Genomic DNA, 14276 nt, shown 5'->3' with positions numbered 1-14276 from the left:
CTTAATTTAAAAAAGTAAAGGACAGCATTAAAATGCGCATAAAAATAAACAAGCTATTTATTTACTTCTACTAATTAACATCTCTTGAGATCTCCAGGGTCTCTTAACATCTCTGGGACCTCTCTCAAAGGATGTTCTCTCTGGCAGGAGAAACAGTGATTCAAAAACTTGCTAAGTCCAGAGGGAAAAATGTCAGAGAAGAAAAGACACCCTAAAAACAAACATGTTAATTAAAAACAGGAGAAAAACATCAGCATCTTCTACCTCTACCCACTATTCCTGGGAGGACAGGGGAAATCGTCTTTCTGCTTAAAATTTTTAAAGAGCCAAATTAGTATTAATCCTCCAGAAAGAGTCAACATTTGCTCCACACAGTCATTACCTCAAAATGAAAGCAAAAGAGTAGGAGTAGAAATTTCCAATTGCTCAGATTTAAAATATATGAGATTTAGTGAAGGACATCCCCAAAAGAAAGTCTGAAGATTACCTTGTTTGTCTTGTTTTGTTTTTTTTCAGTAGTCTCAATCAAAAAGGAATAACCTAAGAGAGGTGAGAGGCATCCAAAAAGGAATGGTCAAGGATGGGGGAAGAAGACCAGGCAGGAACAGCAGGTGAGGTTGCGGGAGGCAGTGATTTGATTATTCACCAAAACACAATCTAACTAGAAGTATGATTATTCCTGGTTGAAAATTGAAAATGTGGGGAAGAAGAAAAGAATAGAAAAGGAAAGGGAAGAATCAATGAAGAAGAGTAGGAAAAAATAAAAGACCAAAAGAAAATTAAAGGTGAACAAATTAAGTCCCAAAAACACATTTTATGGTAAAATTCTAGATTTCTCCTTAGTTTTTCTTATAAAATATATTTATATTTAAAATTCAGAAGCAATATTACAAGTTTAATATAATATAAAAGGCATAGTCTTAGGAGGCAGACAACCATGAGATCAAGTCCAGCCTCTATCACTGATTAGCTGTATGGCCTTAAAAAATTACTTAACAGTGCTGAACTTTGGTTTTCCCATATAAAATGTTTATAATAAAAGTAATCAAATGATTACTATTTATCTATAAATTTATTTTAATATACATATTTATAATAGAAATAATAGTAAGTTTTCTACAATTTTATCTGCATAAAATAATTTTTCCTATTATCATATCAACATAGTTTCCATATTGCTAAGACTTCACAAGGACAACTTGGACAACTTTCAGTGCCTACAAAAATTCTATCAAATGGATGTACCTTGTCTTACATATTCATGCAATTAGTTTTCCCCATATTTTGGATTATTCCTTTAGATGAGAAGAGCTTCCCCAAAAAATGAGTGCTGACTCAAAAAGGGGCATGAATGCTGCTCTTCTCTTTTAAACATAAGAAGAAAAAAAACCCAATATCTAATTCTGCTCTTCCTAATCAAGGTTGTCTGATGAAGCCAGGGTTACTATTTACCATGATCTATAACAATGTTTTAGTTTATGTCATTTTTTAATCTTTACAGAGGCTCCTATGCTCTTCAAAAATTATCCTGAGTGAATTCCAGATTCTAGATCAATAGTTACTTTATGAACCTTCCCAGCACTCTCACCTTGCTTCACAGATAAACATACTTGCACATACACTATAAGGATGGAATTTCTCTACAGAACTATTTTCAGCCCCTATCTGCAATCACTTGGCTGTTCAATCAATATAAAGTGAAAAATTGCAGCCCAGTGTATTCAGCCGAAATTCAACTATGAGATGTTTATACATAGCAGCTTGTATATTATTTAATCGAGACTTTTATGACAACTTTTCCATTGCGGTATATGATGAATGCAATCAATCAGCAAATATACACAGACCGATCATCTAACCACTTTGAATTGTCTAAAAACTTGGTTGAAGTGCATAGACAAGTAAGAGCTATAATCAATGAAATTGGTAATGCTGGAGGGAAATCAGACTTCGATGCTTTCAGTATGCAAATGCGAAACGTGACTTCCTATATACTTTGTACTGTCCCTGTAGGCCTGCCATACTAACTTTTTAAGTCAAAAGTTCACTTGATATTTTTTAAAGAAGCTGTCGCTTTTCATATTAATATCTGCTACTTTATATTACTAGCATTCACCTACAAAGATTACATCTACCTTCTGTCATATATAAATCTCATACTAATAACTTCTTGAGTAAATAGCATTGGGAGTGTATTACTCTGGGTTTAACCACAAACTTTTGAAAGGTCGTGATATGAAAGATAGAACTCAAAAGACAAACATAAAACAATGTTCAAGATTTATAAAATTGTTGTTCCCATCTGGATTTTGCATTTTATGAAGCACATCAAGATACTCGGCAGGTGGAATATAATCCCATTTTATAGATGAAAGATGAATAATATATAAAATGTAGTTAAGCATGTATTTTAGGGCCCAATTAAATAATAAACCAAAGTACTTTACAATAGAGAAAACCGATATAAAACAAAAAATATACAATTCATTTTTGTAGATATCATGAATGGAAAACATAAGTCAGAGACCTATATACTCATAATGATACAAAAGTCCAGTATTCCGGAAGGAACATGGCCTAGTGGAAAATGTCCAGGATTTGGAATCAGAAGATCTTAAGTTTGTATGTGGACTCCATAAATAACCATGTGACTTGATCAAGTTCAAAGTTATCCTTACTTCTCTGATGGTTCCTGATCAGTACAATGGGATTGTATTTCTCTACCTCACTGAGTTTTGTGATAATTAAATAGTGTTTATGAATGCACTTGGTAAATCATAAAGCAATATATGGATTCTAATCATAAATTATATTTCTTTGACTTTCTCCAAATGCCATCAGCATTTCTACTTTAGAAATCAATTTTTTCCTGTATCTCTTTACAGTCCAGCTCTGAACTAATGGTTCGCAAATGTCACACAGTTTTCCTTTGTTCCCCAACTTTAAAGATGTAGCTGTCAATTAAGGGAGACCACAGTTTCATTCATGCAGGTGCTTTCTATAGATTTGTAGTTTAAATTGTGGATTCTTTCTATGAATTTGTTTCCTCAACAAACATTTTCAGAGGCACTGAGCACAGAGAGATAATCAAGACAAAAATTCTTCACCTTCATGGCGTTTCCCCATCTGATAAAGGTAATATCTAAATTGTCATGCATTTATCAACAAACCTGATAATGAATGGATATGCAAGCAAGTACTATGGGTGCACAGAAAAGAAAGCATTTAAATTTTTCCTAGGGGGTCACAGAAACCTTCACAAAGAAAAGGGCCCTTGAAGAATGAGTCCCTAATATCCCCATTCACAATGGCCTTGCCACACTTTCAGAACATTTAATAATTAGCAATAATTATATGAATTTATACAATCTTTTCCCTCATTAAGGTCAAGAGCCTTTAAGCTTAAGTCTCCTTAAAATATACATAGTCACTTGCATCTAGGACTACCAGAAAAGAAGTAAATAGATGTTTGTACACAGTTAAACACACCACCCTTACCCCATAAGGAGGCAAAGTGGTATCTGCCATATGTGGGCTTTAGAACTAGACCCAGTCGGTCTTAACTTCCTAACCTGCAGGTCATATGACCTTGGACAATTCATGTTACCTCACTGAAGCTGAGTTTTCATATCACAAAAATGGAGTAGTAATTGTGAGGTGCCTGGTATATCACAGAAGCTGGTTAAATGTGTGTCCCTTTCCCCCAAAGCTACCTGAGTTTTCCTCTCCAACAGCACTTACCTCCATGCACTTAACTGCCTGATTCCTTCCTCAAATGTAAGCTCTCTGCAAGACAGGGCATGCTTCTTATTCATCTTCACAGTCTAGCACCTGGGGTGATGCCTGCTATTCCATGATTAATATGTCATCGACACTTAAATAGGTGCAGAACAGCCATTTCCAAAAGAAATAGATCATTTCAGGGAGAATATGCAAAGCAATATAGCAATATTAAATTCATTCATTTATTCCATATGTATTTATTAGCAACTACAACATGCTAGGTACTAAATGCTGCAGATGCATCAGTGAACAAAATGGACAAAACGTCCTGCCTTCATGAAGCTTACATCCAAATGCAGGAAATGGACAATAAATAAATAAATCAGCAAAATATACACTAGTGAGATCACTGTTAAGTGTTGTAGAAAAACTGACTAGAGAAGAGGAAAGGGAGGGCCAAGATCTTGGAGAATTAAAAGCTTTACTGATAAAGTGACAATTGAGTATAGACCTGAACAAGGTAAGAGAGTGGGCCATATATCTGTCTAGAGGAAAAGCATTCTAATTAGGGAGGAAGGAAAAGGAAACTCCAGAGTCCTGAAGCAGGAGAATTCCTTGCGAGGAGCTGAGTGTGACTTCAGTAGGCTGAACCTGCCAGAGAGTGGTCAGAGAGGAGTTCAGAGAGATCAGTTGGGGATAGGATGGGGACTTGACCAAATAGGGCCTGCAGGCCATGGTGAAGACACTGGTTTTTACTCTGAGTGAAGTGGCAGCTGATAGGGGGTTTTGAAAAGAGGCTGACGTAATCTGACTTACACTTTAACAGAATCGCTTCAGAGCCAGGGTAGGGAAACGGTACAAGAGAAACCAGGGGGGCCAGTTAAGGAACCGTCCAATAACCCCAGGTAGGAAATAAAGATGGCTTGGAACAAGGTTACTACAGTAAAGCTGCCAAGTAGTGTCAAAGTCTGGATACCTTTTTAAGGTAGAGCTCATGGGTTTGGAATGAAGTGTTACCTCACACACTCCACAATTCACCTAACAAAGGTATATGTTTCATTTTAATAATATCTGATTCTTTCTTTACATACACACACACACACACACACACACACACACACACACACACACACACGTTTTCCAGGGATCTGAAATACACAAATTTTTAAAATTTGATAAGCCAGTTCCCATAGCAACCAAAAATTAGTGTTTTGAAGGACATAAAAAGGATATTCTGGCTGGAAACAATAGTTTTTGACCACTGAGAAAAATAAAACCAAAATGAAAGCATAGTAACCCAAGATGGCATTCTTTTAAAGGCCCCAAGTTTCTTCTCTTTCACAGTATTAATGCTAACCTATGCACCCTATCCAGTTGCTAAGGAAATGTTAAATTCTAAGAAGAGTGCAGAGCACAGAGGGGTGCCACCGGGGAAGCCTCCACCCAGCGCCTGTGATTGCCCAGCTGGGCCTTAGCTCTTCACGAGGGTGAGTCAAGAATGCAATTGTCCCAGGCATTGGCCATGCTCTTTGGGGCAATCCCATTTCCTAACACAGTGCAGTGCATTTTCACAGCACCCCTTCATCTCTTTCAGAATTCAAACACACATCAATAGAGTTAAATTTCCATACTTTCACTTCACATAGTTGAAAAAAAAAAAAAAAAAAAAACCTTCACATAAGAATCAAGTCTCCCCTGATTTTCCTCAGGAAGAACTCTATTAAGAACGTTCTCAAATGAACTACCTTCCAGGAATTACCAGTAATTGTGCATGCCAGCCCCTCCTGTTCTTTACTAAACTTGTTCTTTCTTCCAGCCAACTCCTTTCTCTGTTCCCTTCTGTATGACTCCAAAAAGAATATTAGAAACTCTAAAAAACTGTAATATTCATAAACTAGCAACAAAAATGAAACAGACTACATCAGCTCTAAAACTGCTGAAAAAGCAGCATCCACAACTTAACAGGTATGCTTTGACCAGTCACAGACTGAGACTTCTGAGTTTTTAACTGTTAAGTCTATAATTTGCCTAATTAACTAGATTTTTTAAAGCATTTATCAAAGAGAAACTTAGAGTTAAATCTAAGTTAGAGTTAAATCTATTTTTTTGAAATGCTGTCTTCTAAAATTCCTTGACACAAATTCATGAAATTCTTCTTTCTAGTACAGTTCCATTTTTAACTCTCTTCATTGGCTTTCCAGCTCCTGTCTGCTGCTCTATGCTCTCTAAAATTTCTCTTTAAAAATTGTTAATCTTCATCATTTCATGGTGGTCCCTCTCAAATGAACTACCTTCCAGGAATTACCAGTAATTGTGCATGCCAGCACCTCCTGTTCTTTACCAAACTTGTTTCTTCTTCCAGCCAACTCCTTTCTCTGTTCCCATTTCCAGCACTGCAATCTCATCAACTGGTAGCATTTCAACATATCTCCTTGATTCTAGTTTCTCTCTTGCCTTCCCTGAGCCCCAATCCACCCTACTTATGGTCCTCAGAGTGATTTCTTTCGTATCTTTCTTCTATCTCTGCATTCTAAGAACAACAGCCTACAACAAGGGAATCCTTCTGCCCACTTCTGGCCTTAAGGAGAATGAGACAGAATATCAAATTCATTGATGCCCAGTATCATTTAGCCAGCCAAAAGGACAGCACCCCGATATTCCAGCCCATTCAAACTTCTTTTAGGTCCTAGAAAGTACCAGGTTCTTTCATAACCCCAAAGCCTTCACCCATGCTGTTTCCTCTCCTTAGAGAACTCTTCTCCCCTGTCCCCTGCACATGGCCAATCTCAACCTACCTTCCAGTTCCCAGCTTTGCCATCACTTTTGCCCCCAAGAAGATGCTCTGACCTCACTGGACAAAGTTGTAGACCTGTATTCTCCCTTTCAGAGAATGGTTCCTTTTTTAAAAAATAGCTTATCTCTCTCACTGTCATGCAAGCTCTTTCTGACAAGTGCCCTACCTGTCCTGACCCCACTATAATTCCAACTTCAGCCAGTGGTATATTGTCTCGTACATAGTAGGTGCTCAAAGCATATTTTTGAAAAATGAATGAAGGAAACTGAAACAAATTTTCCGTGATCTAGCTTCATAATCCTTCCAATATACTATTCTGCCTTTGAAAGAGAAAGCATCCAAATGAAAGTTGTTGCCAAAATGAAAGTTGTTGCCAGAAGCAGCACAGAGAATAGCTCAGTCAGCATGACTGCAGAGTAAGAGCCTACCTGTAGGGGGTTTCCCTTACTCAGAAGGGTCCCTGAACTGTGGTTTGACCTGCTGTGGACTGAGATGTGGACTGAGAAGTGGACTGAGATGACTTCAGATACTTCATGTCAACATCATGTGCTGTCTCTCACCCAGGGATCCTACCAAATTTAACACAGACCAATACACTTCTCAGAGGATCTCAGGCACAAAGAAGTAGGGTTCCTCTCCTACCTTCTTTTCAAGGTCAGCCAGAACAAAAGGATGGAAGAGTAATGGCCACCTTTCTCTGTATACAGTCTCAGAGTATAGTTCCTGGAGAGTTTATTCAGTTCATGGTCCACTGTCAGACAGGATATACTGAGGATATTTGATGCATACATGAAGGGTTCTTTCAATTCATTGCCTGGTTCCCTTCCCTGTGCTGGTTCTTTCCTCACTTACATAAAATACCTCAGATTCACTCATACTTTATAACCACCAATTATCAGACCACTGTATCCGGACCCTGGACCCATCCTACCAAGGTGACCAGCAAACTCTCCTAACAAAAAAAGAAAAGATACATTTTATCTCTTGCTTGTCTTTCCCTTCCTTCAACATTCAATACAGCTCACTTTCCAAATTCTGACTTGGCTTTTATGACGCTCCTCATAGTTGTCCTCCTCTAACCCTTTGACAACACTTATTCTGTATTCTTCACTGTTTCTTTATTTATTTGGCCAAATTTACCGTAATCGTTTAAATAATACAGTAAAGCTAAGCTAAATCTGTTTAACTTTTACTACAGGCCAGTCCTATAATATATACTTTAAGATATTAACTCATTTGGTTCACAACTAGCCTATGACTAAAATATGTGTCATCTCCATGTTACAGATGAGGAAACTGAAGGACAGAGAGAATTGATAGCATGACCTAATAAGAGGTATAACTAGGATTTGAATCCAGACAGCAGAGCCCATTGCTTCACTACTATTCTATACTGAGTCTTAAAATGATGGTGGTCCTCAAGGGTCCCTCTGAATCCACAGATATTACCTGGGGGTTCTTACTCCCTTCTCTGGTTTTCATACTTGTATATTCAGATACCTCCCAAATCTATTGTTCTAGTCACTGCTTTCGTTAAGCTCAAGTTCTACATATCCAACTGAACACATACAGAATAAATTCATCATCTTTGAAATATCCTCTCAATCTTCTTTTCTTTGGAAACTTCTTCATTTGCAGAAGACATTACCATGCACCCAGTAACCTAACCCAGAGATAATGATGTCATGTTTCCTCACCCACTCTCTTACCTCCCACATCCAACAATCAGCAAGTTCACCAGATCAACTTCTTCCTCTTTAATACTTTAGCTCAGATCCTGATCTTGTCTCCGTACAACTTAGGGCCTCTTCACATAGCACTAGACTGATTTCTCTGAACCATAGTTATTCTATTCATGGCTTCTCTGACAGTATTTCCAATGAATGACTCATCTTTGCTTAAGGATAAAATCCCAATTCCTCAGCATGACACAGGATGCCTCCTTGATAGGCCCTGAATACTTGCTTGTCAGCCCTTTTTCCACTTCCTACCCTAATCTCCATGACACTAAACACAGCATGCTCATTGTCTAACCCCTGAACCTTTGTACATGCAGCTCCTCTATCTGAAACATACTGCATCACCCCCCTTTCCTTAGCCACCCACTTTCTCTCTACATGTCCACTTTGGAATCTCTACAGCCAGATAGCTTTTCTTACTTCCCATGTGCTCCTATAGCCCCTAAACCTCACTTCACTCTTTGTACCCACCATGCTGAATTGTAATTAACTATTTATATTTTTTAGATCAATTGACTGGACTTTTTTTGAGTACAGAGAGCACATCTTACACGTCTTTGCAGTAAATAACTATCTAATACAAGACCCACACAAAAAGGTGCTCAATAAATCTTTGTAAACTGACATAGCAAATAAAAACTCAGCTTTTGGAAGTTGGCCCTCCCTTTCTCCTGAATTAAGTAGGCTGATGAATACAAAGCTAACTGCATTTCAAGTGAAAGAAACAGATGGCTTTAAATCACATCAGCTCCAGCCAGGGAATATAGAGTATAGGTACACTTTTCCTTTCAAAACACCCTTAAACTTTCCCGCTCATTATTGATTCTTTCTCCTTTAAAAAATCAAGTTTTCTTTCAAATGTATAGAGAAGAATAATGAAAGTTACATGGCATAAAGATAGCCAAAGTACAGTAGTGCCTCATTGATGTAGCATCAATGAGCTGATTCACATAAAATAATTTTCTGGATTAATATGTATTTTGCCTTAAAGCAGCAGATTAATGTGTGTGCATGTTGTTATACTTACTGGAAGAAAATCAGTCTTAAGTATGTTATATACTTCTCTACCTTGATAATCAAATAATCTTTTTAAATGTGCACACAGATTGTAACTGAAGGTAATTTTTTAAAAGTAAACCATGGCCCTATTTTGTTAAAACGTAAACGTATACATTTATGTTTACATTTGTATTTATATTATGTAGTTCTTCTAAAATGTTAACAGTTAATATCTCTGGCTGTAAAATTATGAGATTTTTTTATTTTGTTATTTTATCTGACCTATATTCTCTAATCATTCTAAAATAAAATGTATAAATTGTTATAAAAATGTTTTTAAAATTAAGACTATATTCATTTTAATATTTTATTGACAAGATAAATCTACCATGATGAAGCTCCATATTTATTATATTGATAAAGTTAGAAACTATACAGTGTAAAAGATGTTTTTAGTGAACCAATCCAGAATATTATGCTTTCAGATTTCTTGGGAATATATTCTCTAAGCCCCTCTATCAGTTTACAGCCATACCTTCTTTTTCGTTATCAATTCCTACTTCTAGAAGCCCTCTTTTCCCTTTTTCAAATATTGTATTTGTAAATTGGCTGAATTCATTTTGTAAAATAGAGTGATCCTTTCTTGGGATCTTGAAGTGTAATGTTAAGCATTTGTAGAATACAGACACTGTGACATCTGTTTTCAATTTTTATTTATGGTAATAGTTATGAGTATATTTGGACTTTGGAATATGGTTCAGCTCCTAGCTTCACAATAATGAGCACTGTGACCTTGGACAAGTGATTCAATTTTTATAAGCCTCAGTTTTCTCCTCTATAAATAAGGAGAGCAATAACCATTGCAGAGGGTTATAATGATTAAATGAGATAATGAGGACAGTACTCAGAATTAAAAAAACATAGCAAGTACCCAGTAAGTGGTAGCTGTTGTTACTTATGTTGTTATTATGGTTTACTTATTGCTTCTCAGTTATTTCTCAGACATAGTCATCCCTTGGCATCCCAGGGAACTGGTTCCATGACTCCCATGGATACCGAAATCTGCAAATGTTTCAGTCCCCTATACAAAATGGTGCAATATTTGCATACAACATAGGTACATCCTCCTGTGTCCTCTAAATCATCTTTAGATTACTTATAATACATAAAACAATGTAAATGCTATGTAAACACTTGTTATTCTGTAGTTTTTAAATTTTATTGTTTTTTTAATTGGGTTTCCTTTCTGATTATTTCTCATCTGCAGTTGGTTATATTCATGGGATGTAGAGTCCACAGATACAAAGAGCCAACTGTATAAAGGTTGTCAGATAACTGAGTTCTAGGTAAGCAAAGTATTTTTATATGTAAGCAACTGGTTACAGAAGAGTCACCTAGAAAGCCAAGTCAGGATAATCTTACCCTTAGGAGTAGAAAAACCAGATGATAAATGTGTTAAAGTTTTTAGCAATTTACAGTTCAACTAATACCCAGTAAATTATCTGAGAAAATAATTTTGAGTGGATGCTACATATACAAGGAGAAACATGACATAAGACTACAGCTCTGAACCACTAACTATAAATCTGAAGAAGCCACGCTTATGATCTACTTGTTTTGAATACGCTTATGTCTGTTAATTTGGAGCAAGGTTACAAGATTGGAAACCATGTGGTAGAAAGAGGTCTTCTTATCTGATCAGAAATCTTTAAACATAGGAAATGTTTTATCTTTTATTTCACCATCACTGGAATACTAAATAATAGTGGCCCGGATAGAAGTATACAATGAAACATTTTACTGAAATACAAATGAACCATAATGGTTCTTAGGGGAAATAAAGCTTAGTTGCACTGGTGGCTCAAAAGAGGTCTTACAAAGTTGTCTTCAAGTGGCATTTGTCAATAACACATTACAGGTTAACAACTTTTTTCAAAGTATTTTTTCTAAGAAAAAAGTAATAGATGTTCATTACAGAAAAGTTAGCAAAAACATAACTGTAGATGAGAGAATAAAAATTATACATAACTCACCACCAGGAGATAAACATTATTAAGATATTTTGATACATTTCCTTCCTTTTGTGCTTATTGTCTTTATATTTATACATTTATATATAAAATCATGCTGTTATAGGCATTTGTATCCTGCCTCTTTTTTGACTTATTATAATATAAGCATTTTATAGGGCATTAAAATTCTTCGTAAGCATCGTTTTAAAAAGCTGCATAAATGTTCCATTGTAAGGCTATACCATAATTTACCTAGATGTTTCCTCATTCTTGAATATTTAGGCTATGTCCAAATTTTGTTGTTGTTGCTCACACACAGAAATTTTAAAGATGTTTTTCAAAAGAAAACAAGTTTATTTCGTAGGCAAATGATGTACTCAGTGAAACAGACAGTGATGATACGTTGGTGCAGTGGATTCACTGCTAGCCTCAGGTTCAATCAGAACAGGCATTTATCTGTCCTTCAAGCAATAATTCATTTTAATTCAGGCTTTCCATTCCTAGCTGCTTCCTCACAAATGTGTTTTCCATCTCACACAATTGCAAAGACTGAGCCATAAAGCTCACTTTTTTGACAGGTGGCATTTAATTTGTCTGTAGGTCAAAAGCCCTACTATCTCTTGTTGCCAGACTGAATAGAGGCAGGGAGACTCACTTACAATCCTCCCCATGTGTAATCCTTCTCCTTTGTGAGAATATTTACCTCTTCTTCCAGTTCAATTATTGGCCAGTCTGTCAGATGCAAAGATGCCTTCCCTGAGTTTCTGGGGTTCTTTAGAATTAACTTTTATTCCCAGTCCCTTACGACTCTTGAAGTATCTGTCTCCACAGGGACCAAAACTCCCTATCAAAGGACTCCACCCCACCGTAAGAAGGGCTCTATTTCCTTCAGAACAGGCCTCTTTCTCTACACTAGAAAGTCATGAGAGAAACATAAATGTTCCACCTATGTCATTAGATGAAGAGCTTAAACACTGAGATAATAGAAGTAGTAACAGCAAGAAGCAAAGCCTCGGCGAGGCTATTAATAATGCAACGTGTGATCATGCAGATTTCACATACAAAAGAGAATATTATAAGCATATTTAATATGAAATACAAAAACTAAAGGAGAGTGAGCTAGGCACTTCAGTTGACTTTTCTTGGAACCTAATAATTTATCAATCTAAATATATAGAGAGCTATCACAAATGCAATCTAAAGTAAAAGTATAACAGCTTATTAGGGTCAAAATAGGGACTTCAAAAGAAAAATAGAATAAAATTTATCGAAAAAATAAAACAGGAAAGTTTGTGAAGCAGAAGAGAGTGAAAGACTTCACTCTCGGCCAGGCACGGTGGCTCACGCCTGTAATCCCAGCACTTTGGGAGGCTGAGGTGGGCAGATCACGAGGTCAGGAGTTCGAGACCATCCTGGCTAACATGGTGAAACCCCATCTCTACTAAAAATACAAAAAATTAGCCAGGCATGGTGGTGCATGCCTATAATCCCAGCTACTCAGGAGGCTGAGGCAGTAGAATTGCTTGAACCTGAGAGGTGGAGGTTGCAGTGAGCCAAGATCGTGCCATTGCACTCCAGCCTGGGTGACAGAGGGAGACTCTGTCTCAAAAAAAAAATAAATAAAGAGACTTCACTCTCCAGCTGACTAACCATAATCAGACCATTTTACACTTCAAAAGATTAGCACACTCTCTGGAGGTAGACATCATAAGAAGTAACGAAGAGTGGGACTAATAAAGGCTTATTCCCACTGCAAATAAAATGCAATTGGATTAAATAAATATCTAAATTATAGCACATGGTATTTTTTGCTTTATCTCTATCCCTAAATAATAACATTTCAATATCAGAGGCATAGTACAATTGCACAGTCTTTGTTGTTCAGATAAAATAAATGCAATAATATAGACAGTCCTTGTAATGCTGCCTGGCATCGAGATCCAATAGATGTCAACTGGCTCTGTTTATTTTATACAGAAGCTTATACAGGGCTTTTATACAGGGCTTAATAGAATGACAACAGAACTTGTTTTTATGCATTACACTTAATGAATCATCTAATTTTTATTTTCTTATCATTAAAATAGGAACTTTATTTTTCTTTTTATTGACTTAGGGAGAGACAAGTACAGATTTCTTACATGCATATATTTAAATAGTGGTGGAGACGGGGCTGTCAGTGTATCCATCACTGGAAGAGTGAACATTGTACCCAACAGATAATTTTTCAACTCTCACCCACCACCCACCCTCTCACCTTTTGTAGTCTCCAGTGTCTATTATTCTACTCTCTATGTCAATGTTTACCTTTTGTTTAGCTCCCACTTACAAGTGAAAACATGTGGTATTTCAATTTCTGTTTCTGAGTTATTCACTTAGGATAATGGCCTCCAGTTCTATGTGAATGTTTACCTTTTGTTTAGCTCCCACTTGTAAGTGAAAACATGTGGTGTTTCAATTTCTGTTTCTGAGTTATTCCATCCATGCTCCTGCAACAGACATGATTTTGATTCTTTTTTATGTCTGAGTAGTATTCCACGGTGTACACATACATATATATGTGTGTATATAATAAATATATATATATATTTCAATCACATTTTACTCAAGTATCCATTGATGGACGCTTATGTTGGTTCTATTACTTTGCTATCATGAACAGTGCTGTGATAATCATAAAAGGGCAGGTGGTATTTTATAATGATTTCTCTTTGTGTATATACCCAGTAGCCAGACTGCTAGATTGAATGGTAGTTTTATTTTTAGTTCTTTTAAGACATCTCTATATTGTTTTACATAAAGGTTGTACTAATTTACATTCTCACCAACAATGTAAATTGTTGTATGTGTTCTCTTTTTTCCACATCCTTGCCATCACCTGTTGCTTTTAAACTTTGTAATAAAAGCCATCCTGACTGGTGTAAGATGTTAACGTCTTTTAATGATGAAAGACAATTTATTTTTCTTTTAATTATGCTTTTGACAAGGTATGTTATAAAATATTGAAAT

The 14276-nt window shown here is 36.2% G+C and overlaps 1 pseudogene across 1 annotated transcript in view, besides 5 other annotated features; it reads right to left on the bottom strand.

Annotated features, from left to right (window-relative positions):
- The window catches only part of EGFEM1P (EGF like and EMI domain containing 1, pseudogene), a 581078-nt pseudogene that overhangs the window by 549561 nt on the left and 17241 nt on the right, over positions 1 to 14276 (bottom strand). The window lies entirely within an intron of this gene.
- Positions 4931 to 5432: an enhancer, noted in NCBI's record as "NANOG hESC enhancer chr3:167993395-167993896 (GRCh37/hg19 assembly coordinates)". NCBI's record gives its function as "activates a minimal SCP1, AML or CMV promoter by ChIP-STARR-seq in primed H9 embryonic stem cells {active_cell/tissue: H9 hESC(primed)}" and the evidence as "EXISTENCE:reporter gene assay evidence [ECO:0000049][PMID:30033119]".
- Positions 5024 to 5318: a silencer, noted in NCBI's record as "tiled region #1003; K562 Repressive non-DNase unmatched - State 24:Quies". NCBI's record gives its function as "represses a minimal TATA promoter and a strong SV40 promoter by Sharpr-MPRA in K562 cells {active_cell/tissue: K562}" and the evidence as "EXISTENCE:reporter gene assay evidence [ECO:0000049][PMID:27701403]".
- Positions 6597 to 6726: an enhancer, noted in NCBI's record as "active region_20779". NCBI's record gives its function as "activates an Ori minimal core promoter by ATAC-STARR-seq in GM12878 lymphoblastoid cells {active_cell/tissue: GM12878}" and the evidence as "EXISTENCE:reporter gene assay evidence [ECO:0000049][PMID:35858748]".
- Positions 6767 to 6896: an enhancer, noted in NCBI's record as "active region_20778". NCBI's record gives its function as "activates an Ori minimal core promoter by ATAC-STARR-seq in GM12878 lymphoblastoid cells {active_cell/tissue: GM12878}" and the evidence as "EXISTENCE:reporter gene assay evidence [ECO:0000049][PMID:35858748]".
- Positions 8229 to 8764: an enhancer, noted in NCBI's record as "OCT4-NANOG hESC enhancer chr3:167990063-167990598 (GRCh37/hg19 assembly coordinates)". NCBI's record gives its function as "activates a minimal SCP1, AML or CMV promoter by ChIP-STARR-seq in naive H9 embryonic stem cells {active_cell/tissue: H9 hESC(naive)}" and the evidence as "EXISTENCE:reporter gene assay evidence [ECO:0000049][PMID:30033119]".

This window comes from Homo sapiens, chromosome 3 (assembly GCF_000001405.40).
Source record: "Homo sapiens chromosome 3, GRCh38.p14 Primary Assembly".
Classification (NCBI taxonomy): domain Eukaryota; kingdom Metazoa; phylum Chordata; class Mammalia; order Primates; family Hominidae; genus Homo; species Homo sapiens.
This window is presented reverse-complemented; position numbering and strand designations above follow the sequence as displayed.